Genomic DNA, 22325 nt, shown 5'->3' with positions numbered 1-22325 from the left:
ATAGACTTGCTCGAGTAAAATAATTTAAAATGTTAAATATACTATTTCTCTCCTGATACATTATTTGGTGTCATAAAACTCACCACAGATAGGTATAATAATAATAATTAACTCTAAAAGTCTCTCAAATAGTAAAAAGCCTATCTCAATAACATTTGTTACCATCAAAAAATTGTGCAAGGAATTTTATATTCACATGAAAGCAACAGCAATGTATAGATGATGGATCAAGGGAAAAAAGGCCCTATTTGTAGTTATTATTTTTAAAATCTCTAGTTTTAAAAACACAGGGATATAACAGGAAGCTGATAGTTATTAAACCATATTTTCTATGACATCAAATAAGTCCATGTGTAATTGGTATTCCGTTTTATCTTAAATCTTAAGAGGCTTTTTACATCTTTTTTTTAAAAACGATTTTCCTCTCCTTTCTACTTCCACACTACTCCAATCTATTTTTTTTCTTTATAGATGATGTGGAAACCTGCCTATGATTTTCTGTATACCTGGAGTGCTCACTATGGAAATAACTACAGAGATGTGTTACAAGACCTTCAGTCAGCTTTGGACAGAATGAAAAACCCTGTGACTAAACACTGGAGAGAATTAACTGGAGTTTTAATACTAGTAAATTCTTTGGAGGTTTTGAGAGTAACTGCATTCTCCACTTCTGAGGAAGTATAGAAACAAAGCGTGTGTTTTTGATGGGAGGGAAAATGAGGTAATGGTGTGTGTGTGTGTGTGTCTGTGTGTGTCTGTGTGTGTCTCTGTGTGTCTGTGTGTGTGTGTCTGTGTGTGTGTGTCTGTGTGTGTGTGTGTGTGTGTGTAGGAAAGAAAGAATCTCAGAAAAGCATTATATTAATTTTCTTCATGCTCAAAACCAGTTTTTTTTTCCTGATGAAAGCACAGCCTAACTGATAACCAAGATGGGTTTTATCCTCAAATATGTATTTTTGTGTATGTTTCAAATACAAGTATTAGGCTGCTTTGTTCTTAGAAAGGAAAGAAAAAAGAAAAGTGCCCTCTCTCTCTTTCAGTGTTATTTTAAATTTACTAAGTCAAAGCTGTTTGAATAATTACATCACACAGATATCTGGGTAAACTAGAGACTATCAACATGATCAAGGCAGTGTTCCCAGGAGGCAGCTAGAAAGAGGGGAAGCAAGCACACACCCTGTGGCCAGTCACGGCTGCCCGCTTTCCACACCTGACCTCTTCAGTTCATCAGTGGGGTTCACCAGCATCACCCCCATTTTTCATGGGGAGAAACTCAGAAGTGGAGAGAACGTCTGAGGCTACATAGCCAGTACAAAGTAGGTTTTCTGCTTGAAAAACCTGTTTCTATTTCTTTTTAAAAAATCATACTGCATAACAGAATAGTAAAAACAAAATGCGTGTTAAGACTTACAGGGAAACAGTTGCCGTTTCATTTTAAGTGAGACTTGCTACTCTTTTTCATCGTCTCTTGAAAGACTGACAGAAGGAAAATATGACTTATCAGAAATCTGTTGTCTGCATGCATGGACCTAGTGTTTTCATCAGCTCCCTTCAGCATCTTGGGACCTCTCTAATCCTGCCTAATTTGGGACTTTTTCTGCAGGATTGTAATGTAAAATAGTTCTTTAGCTCTTGGAGATTTTTAATAATACGAGTTATTAAAAACCACCACCACCAGAAACTTGATTAACTTGATTACCCTGTTGAGTAGAGAGGTCTTAACCACCGAAAACACTGATATCTTTATGTTGGCATGCTCATGCAAACACATGTGTGTGTGTGTGTGTGTGTGTGTGTGTGTGTGTGTACCACAGTGTTTTATAAAGCACAGCCTAATTGATTATATAGGACAAAAATTGTATAGGACCCTGGGTCAGTATAAATGCTAATGGCTGACAAAGTTCACAAAGAGATGTATTTTGCTTACTCCTCTGTTCAATCCTCTGGTTGCCTGCCAGTGTTTATGTGTGTATTTGGACAGACATTCATTTATTGTCATTCAGTCAATAGGTAGAGTATATGTGTCTATTTTTTGGCAGGCATATAGATGCTTGAGGCTAATGGGAAAAAACCAGCATGAACTCTGACTTTAGTAGTGCTAAGTAATAGATAATTTTAAAAAATGACACCGTTAAATAGAAAATGGCATGCATACTAACAGTTGCAATGGAGAGGCTGTGATGCTACGAGATATAAACGTAGAGATGCCATCATGTGAAACTGGAAGTGGGGGTGGGTCAGGGAAATTTGTTCTTGGAAAGAAATAATGAACCTCAAGGAAGAGTAGGCATTGTCCTGGTGTGGTGGGGTGTAAGCGGTGATCCCACAAAGCACTGAAGCTCTTAGATGGGTGGGAGCTGAATAGGTGCAGATAGCAGGGGTGAAGGAGTGAAAGGATAAAAGATTCAAGGTTGAGATGAGGATGGAGCAAGAAGAAGCCACATTAGGGCCATTAAGGCTGCTAGAATTTAGAAAGAAAACACACAGCCTCAAAGAAATGTGGGTAAGCCAAAGAAGGATTTTGTTTTGGGAACCTGAATAAAAGATGTCCATTTGGCTAAAAAGTAAAAGCAGAATCTTTTTAGGGCTTTTAATATACCCACCCTGGGATATTTGGTATGCTGGCAATGGTAATTCAAATTGGCGTTTAAGAATAATCTTGGCCGGGCGCGATGGCTCATGCCTGAAATCCCAGCACTTTGGGAGGCCGAGGCGGGCAGATCACTAGGTCAGGAGATCGAGACCATCCTGGCTAACGCGGTGAAACCCCGTCTCTACTAAAAATACAAAAAATTAGCCGGGCGTGGTGGCAGGCGCCTGTAGTCCCAGCTACTCAGGAGGCTGAGGCAGGAGAATGGCGTGAACCCGGGAGGCGGAGCTTGCAGTGAGCCGAGTTCATGCCACTGCACTCCAGCCTGGGTGACAGGCTGTCTCAAAAAAAAAAAAAGGAATAATCTGTACGGCTTTCAGTATTTATATTTGATTATAAGGGAACACAGCCTGACCAAATAATTATGTATACACATTCAAGGACAGAATTTATTTTAATTAAAAATAAATTATGAGAGAAGGAAAAAAAAGCACAGTTTTTACTTTCAGAACACAGTCCTTTTTTGTGGTGATTTTGCTTTCTTTAGAACATTCTTGGAATCTTATTAACATGTCAGCTAACCAGAGAATTTTGGGAAGGGATAGTGGGGATTAATAACTGGGTTTTTCCAGGCTCCAAGATCTAAGAAGACAGAGATCTTGTTAGCTGATTAGTGTAGTAAGATTAAATAAATAATTTAAGGTTTACATTGCATCATGTATTATGATTGTGATTGAGAATAATAAGAGTTTAAAAAAATGAAAAACAAGATCTCTGTAATTTGAGGATGAAACAATGGTTCTAATATTAATACACACAAATATATTTTATAATCTTGTAACAAATCCTTCCAGGGGAAATTTTTTTTTTTTTTTTTTTTTTTTTTTTTTGAGCCAGAGTCTGGCTCTGTTGCCCAGACTGGAGTGCGGTGTTTCAATCTTGACTCACTGCAACCTCCACCTCCTGGGTTCAAAAGATCCTTCTGCCTCCGCCTCCCAAGTAGCTGGGATTACAGGCATGCACCACCTTGTCCGGGTAATTTTTGTATTTTTAGTGGAGACAAGGTTTTACCATTTTGGCCAGACTGGTCTGGAACTCCTGACCTCAGGTCATCCACCTGCCTCGGCCTCCCAGAGTGCTAGGATTACAGGCATGAGCCACTGCTCCCAGCCTTCCAGAGGAATTTTAAGCCCATGTCCAAACATTCTGTTTGTATAAATATATTCTAATTTTTAAATAAATAGTTTCTACTTTTCTGAACTTTATATTTTTTCTTGCTATAATGGATTTTCATAATCAGAAAAGATTAAATTAGTAATCATGAATTGCCTTCAATATTTGGCAGTAAGTCAATGAAATAATAAGGCACTTATATACCATCTTTGACATCATTAAAAGTATCAAATCCCATTAATCTAAAACTTCTTTAAGCATTTTGAAAGCAGAAAATGTTTACATGGTTCTTTCAGTTCCTCAGGCTTTTTGTCTAATGATGCGTGACTTAGGATAAGATTTGAATTAAGTGCCCAGCTTGAAACATAATAATTTTTCTGTATAAGCCACAGATCCTCTACCTCCTTTGTGTTAAAGCCTTTATATGAAACAATTAAGTAGAAGCATTCAATAGTGTGTCATTAACTGTTCATACTAATAAATGGATACAGCACATTTTCATGGCCTGTAATGTAGAACATACTATATAAAGTTCTCAGTTTGGGGATGACTAGGTTTCTGGAAGGAATAGAATGCTAAATCAATGGATGGCATTGGGCTGAGAAACACTGCTGCTACTAATCAGCCTTGAATGTGTAATGTGAACATGCAAAAGAGAACATGCATACACTCAAATTTGTACAATGCTATAACTGGAAGTTGAAGGACTTGAATTTTTATATTGTGCTATTGTTATGTTTTCTGTAATTGTTTATATCTAAGGAATTTTTGAGGTAATATAAAAGAAAAAGAGAATAATGAACAATGATGTCACTGGAGGGTTTTTACATTAAATTAGATCATTTTTCTTCTTATTCACAATAATAATCTTAATCTTTAAGAATTAATTATAATTTAATATTATAATTCATAATCTTTAAGAATTAATAATTATAATTTAATATTATAATTAATAATCTTTAAGAATTAATAATATAATTTAATATTATAATTAATAATCTTTAAGAATTAATAATTACAATTAATAATTAATAATAATCTTAATCTTTAAGAATTAATAATAATCCTTAATCGCAATAATAATCGCAAGGAGGAGAAGTAAGTCCCTCCTCCTTCTGTATGAACTTTTCTCCCACATGCTGCTGTATGGTTTAGTGAGAGTGAAGTTCTAAAGAACATCAATATGATTGGTGGGATAATCCAAAGACATTTTTTCAGAATCAAATGGCATGTCGAAGGTTTGTTTCTTGCATATGTATTTACTGGTCCACAGCACAAAATAAAGTGACCACATATACATAGGAAAGTTGAATTTGTACACATACAGCATCTGAAATGTATCTGATGTTCAGCATCAAGATTTCACTGAACATTGTAGAAATGTGTATCTTTTGCATGTATATTTTACATTGATTTTCTATTTATGTACATCTAGAAAGTTTTAACCCTAATAAATAGTTTTGTAATTTTGAATAATAGTGTCAGTTTATATGTGAGGGAGTAGAGACAGAGAGGTTAGCACTGGATAATAATTAGTAAGGCCAAAGGAGAAAATTTCATAGAAAATATTGTTGTTGTCATAATGAGTACAGCATGAAAGGCTTCCTCTACAAGACACTAGTCAAAGAGTTGAGAGCTGCGGTTTCTAATCTTTGTCCATTACTCCCTTACTCCCTATGAGACTGTGGACCTGTCACTTGGCCTCTCTGGTCTTCAGTTTTCTCACCAGTAAAACAAGGAACTTGAACCAAATGACCTCTAGTGTTCCCCTTGGGTTTAAATGTCTATAAATGTTCAATGACTAGAATGTATTGCGTTTTTCTTTATTCTTTTTGCTTTGAGAAAAGAGAATGTGATTTAAGAGTAATAATTTGAATACCAATTATCCACATTAAAATTGTGTCCTCTATGTGTAAGGCATAGCACATTTAGCACACATACATAAGCACACTAAGCACCTTACAAATATCCTCATTTATTCTTTACATAATCTTTTGAAATTGATTATGTAATACACACTGTTTTTGAACAATTGGTGACTTCCAGCTGTTTAAAACAAACTACAGTATGGTGCTTGAGTACTGACTTAGGAGGTCAGCATTGGTTTCACTAGGAGCTTCTCAAAGCACGCTGCCAAACATGCTCCAGTCTCATTGTCAAGGCCTTAGACCAGGCAATCATTACGGCAGTGGTTCTTCAACTTCAGCAGCAGCAAAACGATCTGGCGGGGGCTTGGTGAAACAGACTGCTGGGCTCGACCACCAGAATTTCTCATTCAGAGGGTCTGGCCTGATCACTTGCATTTCTAATCACTTCCCAGGTGATGCAGATGTTTCTGGTCCAGGGACCCCAGTTTGAGAACCACTGTATTAAAATTTCCTTCATCTCTATAGAAATGGAAAGATTTTTTATAAGTCCTCTAATTTGCTTTAAGATAAATGAGATTTCACTTAATTCTGTTGGAGAAATTGTTTTAAAAATTGTGCTAAAGAACCGAAAATCACTTTATGTTAAGGCTCTATTTATAGCAAGTGAACTTTTCATGAGTTAATAAAGGCCTACAAAAATAATTTTGACTGTGAAACTAATTAAAATCTCTGTGTTTCATTTAAAGCATAAACATATTTGAATAAAAATAGGTTAACAATAATTTGGGACATGTATTCAGTATAATTTTAAGATAATTTTACAAAATATATGTAACATTGCATTTGTTTCTGTAAAATATCTTCGGAAAAAGCCTTGTTTTCCCTAGTGTGTTATTTGTTGAATTTCTTGTTAAATGTATTTTTTCCCATTGAAAAAAATGTTTTTAATCAATGTGATCAATACAGCTATCTATATGCCCTGCTTTCACTGTAGAATTAGAAAGTGTTAATAAGGTGATCGGATGTTCTTTCTAAGGATCATATTCCACATTTAAAGAGATGGTGACTGAGAAGAGGTGGCAAGCTGAACCATCTCACTTTGAGATTGACGTATCACGTTTTATCCTCTGCCATCATTTCCTTGTTAATTGTTTTTCTTTGGGTGATTGGAAGAATCTATGGCTTCCTTTTCTCTGTTCTTAAAGATATCAAGACTCTGCCCTTTTGTGACTGGAAGTAGATTTTAAATGTCCCTAATGTTTATATGCTCACTTAAACTCAATACATGGAATTTACTGGGGCATTTAACTTGTTCATGAAAATAGAGTGAGTCATTGAAAAATCAAATCTTTAGTTATGATTAAGTTATTGTTTTTACCTAAACTGGTTCTACCAAACTCACTCTTTAAAGCAGAATCTGGAATTGGCAAGTCTGATGTAATGCTGATCTTACACATATTAGATTAAATGACCTAATAGAACCAGCTACTGCGCCCTTTCTTATCAGAGTAGAAAAACCCATTCTCTGGGTTTACTCCCAGGAAATACATACTCAATGCTCACTCAGACGTTTTATATCATGACGAAAAATCAAGAAAGGGGTGAAGTGGAGCTAGGGAAGGGTTCAATTACGGTGTAAAGAAAGAAGGCTGCCTATTCATGACAATGGAAACTTTGTCTTCCTCTCTTTGTGTTGGAATTTTTATTTTTATTTTTATTTTTATTTTATTTTATTTTATTTTTTAGACAAGGTCTCCTTGTCTCACCCAAGCTGGAGTGCAGTGGTGCAATGATCGCCTGACCTACCTCCACCTTCCAAGAGTAACAGTGCTCCTGCTCCAATGTGACCTTACAAATCTTACATAGATTTCTCTGTGGTCAACTCTAATCAGCAACACTCAGAGACACTCAGTGAAGAAAGCCCTGGGAAACACTATTTAGTTTAGCCCAGGGGAAATTACAAGGCCATGTCACCTTGAAACTGGAACATGAGGAGAGGTGAGGATGGAGCTGCTGCAGCCATGTTGTTACCATAAAGGGAAAGCCCAGAGCTGCTGGGCAGCTTTGTGGAGCCCAGGGATGAAACTAATATAATCAAATATAGGTAGGGGAACTAACAAAACAAGAACAAAACACAAGTTTGATCACACTCTTCAAGCCTTGGATACTGGAATGCCTGAAACTGCCTCCTGGAGTTTTTAGTTGTGAGAGACAAATTCTTTGTGCCTAATCCAGTTTAAAATAGGTTTTCTGACACCAGCTCTCGAAAGACCGATAAATGACAATTTTGATGTAGGGCTGCTGCGTTTGCTCTAGCTGAAGTTTCTTTGGTGTTTTACAAAACAGTCTTAGATAGCATTAAATCCATCCAGGAGATAAGCAAACAACAGTTAATTTGTATCTTTTTATAGATCAGGTAAAGAGAAAGAAGGAAAGATACTGTGTTTTCCATTTGTAAAAAGACCAGGCCAAACACTGTGGCTCATGCCTGTATTCCTAGCACTTGGGAGGCCAAGGTAGGAGGATCGCTTGAGGCCAGAAGTTTGGGACCAGCCTGGGCAACAGCAAAACCCCATCTCTACAAAAAATACAATTAAAAAAAAATTGTTGAGCATGGTGGTGCACATCCGTGGTCCTAGCTACTCAGGAAGCTGAGGCGAGAGGATCACTTAGCCTCAGCACTATTTGCTGCCTCAGGAAATCTTTCTCCCTCAAGTGCAATTCAAGAAGCTAGTTTTCTGAGTCCTTAGTATGAGACTGGCAATGGGCCTGCTTTTCTATAAACTTCTGCAATAAATCAAATGATAAGTAAATGGAACTTCACTGGCAATATCTGCTCTCTACATACCACTTTACGAATTGCTGATGACATGACAAAACCACCTACAACCCCATCAAGGCCACAGGGGCACCTGGCCTAAGAGGACCAGAGGCAGATCTCCTGTGACTTCAATTACTCTCAAGCAGGACCTATAATGTAGTAGATGCACTTCACCTACTGCTAGAAAGAAGCTGAGGGGAAGAGAGGGACAGAGAAGGAGTTCCCAGAATGCTTGATTGTGAAAATTGTAAGGTTAGAATCGAGTGTCATGACCTGCTGGTGAAAAACAACCATGGCAAATTCCTTCAAACATTTCCTGAATGAAACTAGGAAAGCGGGGTCCAAGCTCAGTGGTATTTCACCTTTCTCAGCCATCTGACTTTTCACTGGAGATCTTTATCTCTTCTTTTGTCTGAGTAATAACCCCAAAATGTTGCCCAAGGGGAAAGTAGAACAGCAACAGCAATTGAAGGGAATTACATGATTCCAAGACATCATCAAAAAATAGGGCAAAATGTAAAGGGATACCACCAACAATGGTGGTGTGTTTGTTCTTTTTTAAAATACCTAACAGCTTTATTAAGATATAGTCAACATGTCATAGAATTAATCCTGTCTTTTTATTTTTAGGAGCCCATGATCATTTTTTCCTTAATATATAGTTCCTGTTTAATGTTTGTTCAACTATATTCATAATTTGCTGTACATAGAGAAATGCTCTTTGGGATGAAATTGGATATTAGGTTTTTCAAGGTTGAATGGAACGGTGTGGGTTGTGGCAAAATAAGAGATTAGTGATCAAGGTTATTTAAAAGAGGAAGATAAGTAAGTACTTGATATTACATTCCTAAATCTATTTTCAAGTGATTTCACTGATAGTTTAGAAGAAAAAGGAAAATCAAATATCCTTTCACGCTGTTAGAAAAGCTCTATATTTCTTTCTATTTTGATTGCTGAGAAGTTACTGTATGCTTAGGAATAAGAGTCCAGGTTCCAGTGAAACAGGTGCAAACCCACTGCATGTAATTAATCCACCCACCCTGGGTTCCTGTCTCGAGCAAAGTTTTAAATCCATCTTTAATGAGAGCTCTGTTTTGACCACTTAGTATATTCTGTGTTTATCTAGTAAAAAACTGCATTACTGTAGTCCCCCATTATCTGTGGTTTCACTTTCCATGGGTTCAGTTACCTGTGGCCATCCCCGTTCTGAAAATATTACATCACTACTCTTGTACGTTGGGGCCAATATTAAGTAAAAAAATGTTCCTTGAACACAAGCACAAGGAAACAGTGACAGTCAATCTGATAACCAAGATAGGTACTAAGTGATGACGGAAAAGGAAAGAGTGAGACTTCATCACACTATTCAGGATGCCATGCAATTTTAAAATTTATGAATTGTTTATTTCTGGAATTTTCCATTTACATCACAATGCCTACCTCATCCGCCTCACTTCATCTCATCATGTAGGCATTGTATCATCTCACATTGTCACAAGAAGGGTGAGTACAATGCAATAAGATATTTTGAGAGAAAGATCATGTTCACGTAACTTTTTTTTTACAGTATATTGTTATATTTGTTTGATTTTATTATTGTTGATTTCTTAAAGCTTTATCATAGGAATGTATGTGTAGGAAAAATTTACACAGGGTTTGGCACCATCAGTGGTTTCAGGCATCAACCTTGGGTCTTGGAATGTATCCCCTGCAGATAAGGGGGATACTGAGTGACTTAGAAAACAGAAATGTTTCTTACAATCCTGGAGGCTAGAAATAAAATCAAGGTTTTGGCAGGGTTGGATTTTTCTGAGGGCCGTGGGGAAGAATATATTTCTGGCCTCTCTCTTTAGTTTAAAGATGGCCGTCTTCTCCCTGTATCTTTACATGCTCTTCCTTTTATGAGTGTGTCAATGTGTCATGTCCTTTTCTCTTTAGGACACCAGTCATACTGGATTAGCGCCCACCTAGTGACCTCATTTAAGTTACCTCTTGAAAGACACTACCTCTAAATATGGTTACATTCTTAGGTACCAGGGGTTAGCACTTCAACGTGAACTTGAGGGAGGGTACAATTCAGCCCATAATAAAAATTATTTAGTCAGGTTTTTTTTGTTACTAAAACCAACTACTTCGTTCAAATGCATGTTAAACAATCCTGCAATGAGCCTTTTAAAATTTCTGCCCCCTTATTTCTCTATCACCAGAAAATCCTCAATGCCTGAGAAATGAGGGACATTCCAAAGCCACGGATTGATCTGAAATACAGTAAGATGATAGAACTACGCAGCTGGAACTGCCATTGTTCTTTTAATTCAGGCATGATAAAGAGTCAAACTCTGCTTATGGGAACTAATGGTAAACAACATTGGTGTAGGTAATACAAGTTCCAGCCCAGCCTGGGCAACATAACAAGACTTCATCTCTAGAAACAATAACAAACAAAACAAATAAATAAAAAATAAGCTTATTTAATACTCCTAACCTACAGAACATCGTAGCTTAGCCTAGCCTACCTTAAGAGTGCTCAAAACACTTATATTAGCCTACAGTTGAGCAAAATCATCTAACACAAAGCCTATTTTATAATAAAGTGTTGAATAGCTCAGATAATTTATTGAATACTATACCGAAAGTGAAAAACAGAATGGTTGTATGGGTACTTACTCAAAGTCTGGCTTCTAATGAATGAGTATTGCTTTCCCACCACTGTGAAGTCAAAAAAATCGTAGGTCGAACTCGTAAATAAATTGAGGACTGTCTGTTCATACTTGTAGATAATTTCCCTTGGGTTTTCATTGCTGCCAGTATAGGATTTAAGTGCTGCAGAAAAGGAATACTCTTTTTTCTGGTGGGGAACTGTGAAGACAGTCTAAGAACAGATTGTCACTCCTTTGATTTTGTTGTTGTTGCTGTTGTTGTTGTTGTTCTTGTTGATGAACACTGGGATGGCTGGGAAGCAAATGTCTCTTATAGAACAAACAAAAACAAGGGGAGGCTTGGATCACCCAGAGAGCACACTGAGCCAAGCATCTGGGAAATTTGTCTTGAAGGGTGTGGTGGGTAAGAAAAAAGACAGAATGTGCTGAACTCCTGAGGAGACCTGGTAGATTGTCCTAAGCAGGGATTTGAGAGAACAGGCTAAGAAAATCTCTAACTGAGAACTGCAATTTGAGAGAGAAGGCTAAAAAGTTTTTCTCAATTGCCATTTTTTACAGAATTCTTTGAGTGCACTTATGGTAAACAGCCTTTCCTGGTTTGTCCAAGACTGAGGGCTTTCCTGAGACGTGGGATTTTCAGTGCTAAAACCAGGGAAGTTTCAGGCAAACCAAGACAATTGGCCACCATAAGTACAAAACACTGAAGTCCCTGTTAAAAGTAAAAGTGGCAACCGGGAAAGATAACACCCTGTCATTATCAGGCTCTTTGTGCCGCAGCTTAAATAATCACCATATTAAACCTACGGTAAGGAAGGGACATAAGATATTTTTATAGATGAAGGGAATCGTGGAAAGTTCCCAGAATGGGCAAGACTTAAAGAAAGTACTAGATGCCAAAATTGACAGGGAGAGATACTGAGGACAAACAGGCTGAGGACCAGACCTAATGCAGCTCACGCCACTCTGATGTGGATAATTCTTGCAAGGGTATCTGTAAGTTCCTTACTCAATTACCAGTTTCTCTGACTACAAAACATTGTACTTCATTCCATCAAAAAATAAATACAGCAGTGAAAACAATTTGTAACTTTACATAAACCTAACAGCTAGTTTATGGGAAGGACAAAGTGTTTCTTTTAATTTATGGAAACTAGTATTAAGCTTGTTTATCTGCACAATAAATTTAAAACATAGAGATAGCTTTAACTTGCAAGAGGGAGAGGAAGAGAGAAAGCTAAATGTTTAACTTTTCCATCTTTGCAAAGGGTCTTTGGAAATCCTCCTCCAGATTCCCCAGAGCATGACAGTGACTTCACGTGGATACAGATTTTGCAGTTATCAACTAACCCATCAATTAGCATTTATGGAGCACTAATTGGTGTCAACCCAGGTACCATAAGTGTAAGCATGATCCAAATAAATTAAATGAGAATTGATTGTTTTAATTACGGCAATCCAGTCAATGGCAGGCTCTTCTTTCTCTGCTTTTATTTTCCTTCTCTTCCTCTTTCCCCTTACCTTTCTCTTTCTCATTCTTTTTCCTCTTTCTCTTCTTTTTTCTCATTGGCAAAAAAAAAAAAAAAGAAAAAATCAGAGGGATAGACCTATTATTCTTAAAACAATAGATGAAGTGACAACTTCTGAGAAAACAATGTTAATTGTGTATCTATTCTTAGCAAAGCACTATGCTGGCACAAGACATGACTGCAGAAAATCTTTTAATTTTTAAGGCCATTTTCAATCACATGGAGGAGCTGGACAAATATTTATACACATGGCATAAAATATAATTAGTCAACAGTTATTGAATTTACATGTAGAGAGGCCTTGAATCAATGCTCTCTGTATTAAAGGATTTCCAAAACATATTAAACATGAAATGTAGTGAGATCTGTTGTCATCGTTACAATTCAGTCCTGTTGCTTCCTTTGTAGTTTTGTGGCACAATAACAGACATGCTTGTGTTAACTGCAAATCGCTTTTTTTTAAATATCTACTTAGCTAGATTAAAACCTGATTTGACAGTTAATTTCAACTATTGCACATAGTAAAAACAGCAGACTTGAAGATTTATTCTTTCTGGACTACCTGCTTCTTAAGTTCCATTTTCCTGTGTCCTGGGATTGCAGAGTAAGTACAATCAACGAGCTTTCCTGCCTTCTCAGCCTTATTTGTATATTGATAGTTTCTGTATTATTTAGGAGCAAAAACACCTTCAAATGGAAAGTTTCTAAAATCCTAAGCAAGGTTTCTTATTAAATATTACAGTGACAACTACATTAATGCACTCCTTGAGTCCTTGAGGGCAAAGGACACTTGGAATACAACATTTAAAGCTCTGGGTAAATTCAGGAATCTATCAGTAAGCCCTGACTCAACAGAATTAGCTCAAGTTTACGGGCAGGCCTCTTACATTAATAAAGGAGACTGTATTTCCAAAACATTCCAGTGTTTAAAAAAATCTTAGAAAAACTACAACCCTGACTAAACAGTGCTCAAGTAGAAATAATTCCATCACTGAGTACTTCACACAAGAAAAGACCTTGAGAGAGGTCCAATTATAATTAACTATGAAGATTTGACTTGCTCTTATTTTCAGAAAAACCAAAATAAACATTTTGTTGATTGGGAATATACAAAATGAGTATTTTCTGGAATCAGATAAAGTAATTGGCATGAATTCTTGGGCCATGGAGGGTCAATATAGCTCCCTAAAACATCCTAACCAATAAAACTATAGACTATCGAAACATATCTGTGAAAGGATTATCTAAAATTGTATATTGTATAGGATTAGATAAAATGACCCAATCAGTCTGCATATTGCAGCAATTTTTCAATAGAAATCTGTAATAGGATAGATTTTTGTTGTTTTTATTTGTCTATTTTCATGAGCAATTGTATTCTCCACATAAAACATACTTTTCATTGTTTGAAGTGCTTTATTGAAAGAGTTTAATAGAATACCTACTTTGAAATCTTGTTATCATTCCTATGTTTTTCTTTTGAAAAACATTTTGAAATGAGACTGGGGCAGTAATGATGGATTGAATTTTTCTATTTATGCTTCTTTTCTGGAGGCCTCTGGATTAATACTATGATTTTCTAGATGACTGGATAATCTCACTGGTGAAGCAGTTTGTGTGATTATCAATCACATTCATACTTGGGTATAACTTTCAGAACCCATTGGCCCAGAAAATATTTAGTAACTCATTGGAAGTCCCATGCATAAATCAGGAAATCTTAGAATTAAACCCAGCTGATGGTTATCCACATTTTATTTTTATGGACTACATTTTGTAAAACTTGCCACCCAGAAAGGGCATTCCATTTTTGAACAATTCTCCTTTTATGAAGGTCTGCCTGTACTTGAGCCCAAATCTGACTTTTGTACCTTATTCATTCGTTTATTCATCATTTAATAAATGCTGACTGAGTGCCTAATCTGTACCACAAATGCTGAAGATAAAATGACACGACACATTCCCTGTTCTCATGGATTTTGCTGTCAGTGGGAGGAAACTATTTCACTAATGCCCTTCTACAGGTACTTCCTTCAGACATTTGGAGACAACAATCATTCCCTCAAAACTTTAAAACATTTCTTCACTAGGCTGCACACCCTAAGTCCCCTCGTTTCAAATAAATAATTTTCAGATTCTTCCCTGCATGTTACTTTCATAGTGGGTTGCCTATCTTCCTCTTCAGATAGTTGCCCCCCTAGAGCTAAACCCAGTGTCTTGGTGAGGTCTGTCCAGAGCACATTTACCCCTTCAGTCATTTATCTGGAAAACTTATTTGGCATCTGTTGTAGGTCAGGCAAATGTGAATATGCCCGTAATTTCTGTCATTAAGAAGTTTATGTTCTACAGGAAACCCCAAAATGATTGAACAAGACAATTGCTTCTCTAATTGTGGGCAACATAGTCCCGTTAATTCAGCCCGTGCTTTGCAAATAAGTTTCACTCGCGTCCGTGTGAAGAGACCACCAAACAGGCTTTGTGTAAGCAACAAGGCTGTTTATTTCACCTGGGTGCAGGCGGGCTGAGTCCAAAAAGAGAGTCAGTGAAGGGAGATAGGGGTGGGGCCGTTTTATAAGATTTGGGTAGGTAAAGGAAAATTACAGGCAAAGGGGGGGGTTGTTCTCTGGCAGGCAGGAATGGTGGTCACAAGGTGCTCAGTGGGGGAGCTTTTTGAGCCAGGATGAGCCAGGAGAAGGAATTTCACAAGGTAATGTCATCAGTTAAGGCAAGCACCGGCCATTTTCACTTCTTTTGTGGTGGAATGTCATTAGTTAAGGCAGGAACAGGCCATTTAAATATCGCTTTTGTTATTCTTCCGTTACTTCAGGCCATCTGGATGTTTATGTGCAGGTCACAAGGGATATGATGGCTTAGCTTGGGCTCAGAGGCCTGACATTCCTGTCTTCTTATAGTAATAAGAAAAATAAAACACAATAGTGTTGACGTTTTGGGGCGGCGAAAATTTTTGGGGGTGGTATGGAGAGATAATGGGCAATGTTTCTCAGGGCTGCTTCGAGCGGGATTAGGGGCGGCATGGGAACCTAGAGTGGGAGAGATTAAGCTGAAGGAAGATTTTGTGGCAAGGGGTGATATTGTGGGGTTGTTAGAAGAAACATTTGTCGTATAGAATTATTGGTGATGGCCTGGATATGGTTTTGTATGAATTGAAAAAAGAACGGAATAAGACAAGGAGAAAAGCAGGTATTAAAGGACTAAGAATTGGGAGGAGCTAGGACATCTAATTAGAGAGTGCCTAAGGAGGTTCAGCATAGCCCTGCCAGCAAAGATTATTTATTTACTTTAAGAGAGAGTTAAGAGTGGCAGTTTGGGGATAGCACCAGGAGATATCAGCTGTTATGGCTTGGAGAAATAGTGTAAACCGGCAGTGTAAACAAGAGCAGGGCATTTATGAGTAGTTGAGAATGGTGAATAGGAGTATGACTAGATAGAAGATAGTAGGGATGACAGGTTTTTTTATTTTTTTGTTTTTTTTTTTTTTGGAGGGGGGGCGTGCAGTCCAAGTTGGTCTGGTGTCTGAAATGAGACTGGGGCCTATAAAAAGGAGCGTCTATACAGGAGTTCAAATGGGCTGCACCCTGTAGCATTTCGAGGACAGACCTGAATTCTGAGAAGGGCAAGTGGTAAAAGTATTGTCTAGTCCTTTTTAAGTTGATGGCTGAGCTTGGTGAGCTGTGTTTTTAAAAGACCATTCTTTCACTGAATACTAAGAGCCTGGGAAACTGCTTGGGTGATTTGACTAATAAAGGCCGGTCTGTTATAGGACTATATAGAGGTGGGAAGGCCAAACCGAGGAATTATGTCTGACAGAAGGGAAGAAATGACTGTGGTGGCTTTCTCAGACTCTGTGGGAAAGGCCTCTACCTATCCAGTGAAAGTGTCTACCCAGACCAAGAGGTATTTTAGTTTTCTGACTCGGGGCATTTTGAGTAAAGCCAATTTAGTAGTCCTGGGCGGGGGCAAATCCCCGAGCTTGATGTGTAGGGAAGGTGGTGGGCGGGGGGGGGGTGGGTCTGAATAATCCCTGAGGAGTAGTAGAATAGCAGATGGAACACTGAGAAGTTATTTCCTTGAGGGTAGATTTCTATGATGGAAAGGAAATGAGAAGTTCTAAGAGGGGCTAGTGGCTTGTGCTGTAGCATAGCCTGCCTTTGCTTGTGTGTGGCAATTAGGCCTGGTGGACCTGCCATCAATAAACCAAGTGTGATCAGGGTGAGGAACAGGAAAGAAGGAAATTTGGGGAAATGGGGTGAATGTCAGGTGGATCAGAGAGATACAGTCATGGGGGTCAGGTGTGGTATCAGGAATAATGTGGGAGGCCGGATTGAAGTCCGGGCCAGGAACAATGGTAATTGTGGGAGACTCAATAAAGAGTGAGTACAGCTGAAAGAGCCGGGGAGCAGAAAGTATATGTGTCAGGTGTGAGGAAGAAAATAGATTTTGGAAGTTATGAGAACTTTAGAGAGTGAGTTGAGCATAGTTGGTGATTTTAAGGGCCTCTAAAAGTATTAGGGTGGCAGCGGCCGCTGCACATAGACTTGAGAGCTGGGGAAAACAGTAAGGTCAAGTTGTTCGGATAAAAAGGCTACAGGGCATGGTCCCGGTTCTTGTGTAAGAATTCTTACTGCACAGCCCTGCACTTCAGCTGTGGGTAATGAAAAGGGCTGGGATGAGTCAGGGAGAGCTAGGGACTCTAGAGCTAGGGGGCAGTCTCTAAAGCTGTCTTCAAGAAATGGAAAGAGGAGTGGGGAAAGGATTTAGGATCTATGGGGTCAGCTAGGTTTCTTTTTGCACTTTGTTAGGATGGCAAAACCAGGTATCTAAAGTCGAAAGTATCCAACCATGTCTAGGAAGGAAACGAGTTGTTGTTTTGTAGAAGGTGTTGGGGTTTGAGAGATCAGTCAGACACGACTGGCAGGGAGAGCACATGTGTTTTCATGAGAATTATGCCGAGATAGGTAACAGATGAGGAAGAAATTTGGGCTTGACTGAAGTAATGGGAGCTGTCTGTGAAACCTTGCGGCAGTACAGCCCAGGTAATTTGCTGAGCCTAATGGGTGTCAGGGTCAGTCCAAGTGAAAGTGAACAGAGGCTGGGATGAAGGGTGCAAAGGAATAGTAAAGAAAGCATGTTTGAGATCCAGAACAGGATAATGGGTTGTAGAGGGAGGTATTGAGGATAGGAGAGTATATGGGTTTGGCACCATGGGGTGGAAAGGCAAAACAATTTGGTTGATAAGGCGCAGATCCTGAACTAACCTGTAAGGCTTGTCTGGTTTTAGGACAGGTAAAATGGGGAATTGTAACGAGAGTTTATAGGCTTTAAAAGGCCATGCTGTAGCAGGCGAGTGATAACAGGCTTTAATCCTTTTAAAGCGTGCTGCGAGATGGGATATTGGCATTGAGTGGGGTAAGGGTGATCAGATTTTAATGAGATGGTAAGGGGTGGATGATCCGTCGCCAAGGAGGGAGTAGAGGCGTCCTATACTTGTGGTTTAAGGTGGGGAGATACAAGGGGAGGATGTGAAGGAGGCTTTGAACTAGGGGAAAAGGTGGCAATGAGATGTGGCTGTAGCCCAGGAATAGTCAGGGAAGCAGATGATTTAGTTAAAATATCTCAGCCTAATAAGGGAACTGCGCAGGTGGGGATAACTAAAAGGAGTGCTTAAAAGAGTATTGTCTAAGTTGGCACCAGAGTTGGGGAGTTTTAAGAGGTTTAGAAGCCTGGCCGTCAATACCCACAGCAGTTATGGAGGCAAAGGAAACAGGGCTTTGAAAAGAAGGTAATGTGGAGTGGGTAGCCTCCGTATTGATTAAGAAGGGGACGGACTTAACCTTCCACTGTGAACGTTACTTAAAGCATCTGTGATGGTCTGGGAAGGTTCCGAGGTGATTAGGCAGCGTCGGTCTTCAGCTGCTAAGCTGAGAAGATCTGGGAAGGAGTCAGAGAGCCTTGGGCCAGAGTTCCAGGGGCTCTGGGAGTGGCTGCCAGGTGAGTTGGACAGTCCGATTTCCAGTGGGGTCCCACACAGATGGGACGTGGCTTAGGAGGAATCCCGGGCTGTGGGCATTCTTTGGCCCGGTGGCCAGATTTCTGGCACTTGTAGCAAGCTTCTGGGGCAGGCGGGCCTGGAGGAATGCCTGGCCACTTCGTTTTAGGCGTTTGGAAGTTCTTGTGTCCTGGAGATGTGGCTGGGGTTTCTGTCACAGTGGAGGCAAGGAATTGCAACTCAGAAACAAGTTGCTACTTGGCCGCCTCTATTCTATTATTGTACACCTTGAAGGCGAGATTAATTAAGTCCTGTTGTGGGGTTTGAGGGCTGGAATTTAATTTTTGGAGCTTTATTTAATGTCAGGAGCAGATTGGGTAATAAAATAAAATGTATATTGAGAATAAGATGGTATTTTGACCTTTCAGGGTCTAGGGCTGTAAAGTGTCTCAGGGTTACTGCTAAACGGGTCATGAACTGGGCTGGGTTTTTCATATTTGATGAAAAAAGAGCTGAAAGACTAACTGATTCTGGGAGGGGTCAGATACAGAAAAAGGAGCATTAACCTTGACTTTGCCTTTAGTTCCAGCCACCTTTTTAAGAGGAGATTGCTGGGCAGGTGGGGGATGGCTAGTCGTGGAACGAAACTGTAAGCTGGACTGGGTGTGAGGAGGGGAGGTGATAAAAGGATTATAGGGTAGGGGGAGCAGAGGCTGAGGAAGAATTGGGACTTGGCTCGGCCTGGGGAGGAGGGGGGATGTCAGATGGGTCTGTAGAAAAGGAAGATTAGAAAGAGTGATGCTTGGGGTTGGGACTGAGAGGACAGGCGGGAGGGAAAGAAGGAGGATTTGGGACGAGTCACACTGGGGACAGAGACTAGGGAGGGAACAATGTGTAAAAGAATGCCTGGACGTTAGGCACCTCAGACCATTTGCCTATTTTATGGTAAGAAATATCTAGATCTTGTAAGATGGAAAAATCAAAAGTGCTGTTTTCTGGCTATTTGGAACCACTGTCGAGTCTGTATTGGGGTCAAGCGGCATTGTAGAAGCAAATAAGGCGTTTAGGTTTAGGTCAGGTGTGAGGTGAAGAGGTTTTAAGTTCTTGAGAGCACAGACTAAGGGAGAAGAAGGAGGAATGGAGGATGGAAGGCTGCCCATAGTGAAGGAGGCAAGCCCAGAGAAAAGAGAGAGTAGAGACATGGAGAGAAGGGGTGGGGGGTTCTTGCCCCCCAGAAAAGCGGAGAAGGGGTAGCAACATGGAGAGAAGGGGTCGGGGGTTTCTTGCGCTCCAGAAAAGCAGAGAAGGGGTAGAGACATGGAGAGAAGGGGTTGGGGGGTTCCTGCCCCCCAGAGAAGCGGTACTTGCTGCTAAGGGTGAAGGACCAAGGCAGGCATCCCCGTGTGGTCAGACAACTCTGAAACGTGGGTGAATAATCAGGCAGCCATCCCTGCGTGATTAAACACCAAGAGAAGACTGTCTTCCCAAGTCTGTGACCAGGGCTGGAGTTTTGGGTCCACAGATAAAACGTGTCTCTTTTGTCTCTACCAGAAAATGAAAGGAACTGAAATTAAGACAAGGGAGAGATTGAAGTGTGGCACCAAGACTGAAAGGAGAAAGAGGTTGAGGGATAGTGAGAGAGGTTGGAGAAGAGAGTAAAAAGAGGCCGCTTACCAGATTTAAAATTGGTGAGATGTTCCTTGGGCTGGTCGGTCTGAGGACCCAAGGTCGTATGTGGATCTTTCTCACGAAACAAAGAGCAGGAGGACAGGGGATTGATCTCCCAAGGGAGGCCCCCGATCCGAGTCCTGGCACCAAAATTTCGCTCGCGCCAGTGTGAAGAGACCATTAAACAGGCTTTGTGTGAGCAACAAGGCTGTTTATTTCACCTGGGTGCAGGCTGGCTGAGTCCGCAAAGAGAGTCAGCGAAGGGAGACAGGGGTGGGGCCATTTTGTAAGATTTCGGTAGGTAAAGGAAAATTACAGGCAAAGGGGGGTTGTTCTCTGGAGGGCAGGAGTGTGGTCACAAGGTGCTCAGTGGGGGAGCTTTTTGAGCCAGGATGAGCCAGGAGAAGGAATTTCACAAGGTAATGTCATCATTTAAGGGCAAGCACCGGCCATTTTCACTTCTTTTGTGGTGGAATGTCATTAGTTAAGGCAGGAACAGGCCATTTAAACATCACTTCTTTTGTTATTCTTCAGTTACTTCAGGCCATCTGGATGTATACATGCAAGTCACAGGGGATATGATGGCTTAGCTTGGGCTCAGAGGCCTGACAATAAGGAAATGGATCTTGGTGGGCTTATGACTCAACCTTTTCTTTTGTGTTAGTTTAAGGAGCTGTGGCCCCAGGCATAGGCCCAAATACAACAAAATTCACTGAAATAAGCAAATAATCTGCAACTTAAAAGAAATAATACAAGTTGCAAAATAATCAATTTTTAATAGGTAGAGTGGAATGATTGCAATATAAACCTCTTCAGGGTTGAGGTAAGCTAAACTGATAGAATTAATCAGTATTAGTTTGAAAATAGCAGAGTCTATACAAATATTTATGGTAGAACCAACTAGACTTACATGTTGCCATCATTGTTAATAACGTTTTGTTTTGTTTCTTCCTTCTGCTCTCAAGTAATGACAGCTTCTGAATCTGTAACACAGTCCTATCATTGATATCTCAGAACTAAATGTCCCTTCTCTGCCCTCTTGGTCTCTTTAAAACTGGTAGAAGTTTCCTCCCTACCTTGTCTTCTGTGTTAAGAGCCTCTATTTGGAGAATAATCCATGCTTATTCTACAAAAGAGAATTAGTAATCACCGTAGTTTTAGTCATTTGTTCATTTATGCATCTACTCATATCATTTTATTTATTCATTAAATTTTTAAAAATGAATTCAGTGCTTGGTCCATATTTGTAATTCACTTAATTTTTGTGACATGAGTGAATAAGTGGATGAGGACCCAATCAAGCTCATTTATTTGTCGATTATAATATTCATTTGCTTAGTAGATAAGAACAAGACCAGGGTTTCTTGCAGCTGGAGGAAGCTGTAAGTCTGTGATAGAGAGGTTTTGCTGGCAGTGTCAGGAACATCACAGAGGGTAAAGGCCAATGAGTGGCAGGCTGGTTGTATCTCTGATATAATTCTGGCCTCTCCAGTGGCTAATAAGTACCATGATGATATAGCTGTAACAAAGCCAGGGACTCACAGTAAGTTATTTGGTAAATTTTAATATTTCTTTAAATCTATCTCATGATTAATTTGAAAATGCTTCATATTCCCACATAATATGTATCAGTTTTGATTGGTTTTTGTGCTTGTACCTTACTAGTTATTAAATATTTTAGATATCACCCCTGCCACCATGAGATCTGCTTTTAGCTCAGGCACCATTTGGGAATGGCTCTTCCCACAAGAGATCCATGCTCCTCCAACTTCCCAGCAGGTTGGAGAAAAAGGCACAAGTGCTTAGGTTGGTGAACAGCATTTCCAACTTGATAGAACAGGCAGATGTCATTTCCAGGGTGATAAATTTGTAGGCAGTCAAGTTTTTGCAAGATGAAAAGAGCTTATAGACATTTATTGCTAAATGTTATTGCATACATTTTGGAGAACTGTATAAACAGAGATTAAGAAGTAAGAATCCAGGCACAGAAATTTTCATTCCTCAAAGGGAAAAGA

At 39.4% G+C, this 22325-nt stretch overlaps 1 protein-coding gene and 1 long non-coding RNA gene across 2 annotated transcripts in view, besides 4 other annotated features; both read left to right on the top strand.

Annotated features, from left to right (window-relative positions):
• Window positions 1–6975, top strand: part of MACC1 (MET transcriptional regulator MACC1) — an 82730-nt gene extending 75755 nt beyond the window's left edge. The window contains exon 7 of the mRNA NM_182762.4: window positions 472–6975. Coding sequence (NP_877439.3) covers window positions 472–684 — 213 coding nt within the window. The 3' untranslated portion in view covers window positions 685–6975. The remainder of the gene's footprint in view (window positions 1–471) is intronic.
• Window positions 1204–22325, top strand: part of MACC1-OT1 (MACC1 3' UTR overlapping transcript 1) — a 221446-nt gene continuing 200324 nt past the window's right edge. The window contains exon 1 of the long non-coding RNA NR_110114.1: window positions 1204–1313. This is a non-coding gene — a long non-coding RNA (MACC1 3' UTR overlapping transcript 1). The remainder of the gene's footprint in view (window positions 1314–22325) is intronic.
• Window positions 14557–15408: an enhancer, noted in NCBI's record as "OCT4-NANOG-H3K27ac-H3K4me1 hESC enhancer chr7:20165845-20166696 (GRCh37/hg19 assembly coordinates)". NCBI's record gives its function as "activates a minimal SCP1, AML or CMV promoter by ChIP-STARR-seq in naive H9 embryonic stem cells {active_cell/tissue: H9 hESC(naive)}" and the evidence as "EXISTENCE:reporter gene assay evidence [ECO:0000049][PMID:30033119]".
• Window positions 15409–16262: an enhancer, noted in NCBI's record as "OCT4-NANOG-H3K27ac-H3K4me1 hESC enhancer chr7:20164991-20165844 (GRCh37/hg19 assembly coordinates)". NCBI's record gives its function as "activates a minimal SCP1, AML or CMV promoter by ChIP-STARR-seq in naive H9 embryonic stem cells {active_cell/tissue: H9 hESC(naive)}" and the evidence as "EXISTENCE:reporter gene assay evidence [ECO:0000049][PMID:30033119]".
• Window positions 19677–20529: an enhancer, noted in NCBI's record as "NANOG-H3K27ac-H3K4me1 hESC enhancer chr7:20160724-20161576 (GRCh37/hg19 assembly coordinates)". NCBI's record gives its function as "activates a minimal SCP1, AML or CMV promoter by ChIP-STARR-seq in naive H9 embryonic stem cells {active_cell/tissue: H9 hESC(naive)}" and the evidence as "EXISTENCE:reporter gene assay evidence [ECO:0000049][PMID:30033119]".
• Window positions 20530–21383: an enhancer, noted in NCBI's record as "OCT4-NANOG-H3K27ac hESC enhancer chr7:20159870-20160723 (GRCh37/hg19 assembly coordinates)". NCBI's record gives its function as "activates a minimal SCP1, AML or CMV promoter by ChIP-STARR-seq in naive and primed H9 embryonic stem cells {active_cell/tissue: H9 hESC(naive and primed)}" and the evidence as "EXISTENCE:reporter gene assay evidence [ECO:0000049][PMID:30033119]".

Source organism: Homo sapiens, chromosome 7 (genome assembly GCF_000001405.40).
Source record: "Homo sapiens chromosome 7, GRCh38.p14 Primary Assembly".
NCBI classification, from domain to species: domain Eukaryota; kingdom Metazoa; phylum Chordata; class Mammalia; order Primates; family Hominidae; genus Homo; species Homo sapiens.
This window is presented reverse-complemented; position numbering and strand designations above follow the sequence as displayed.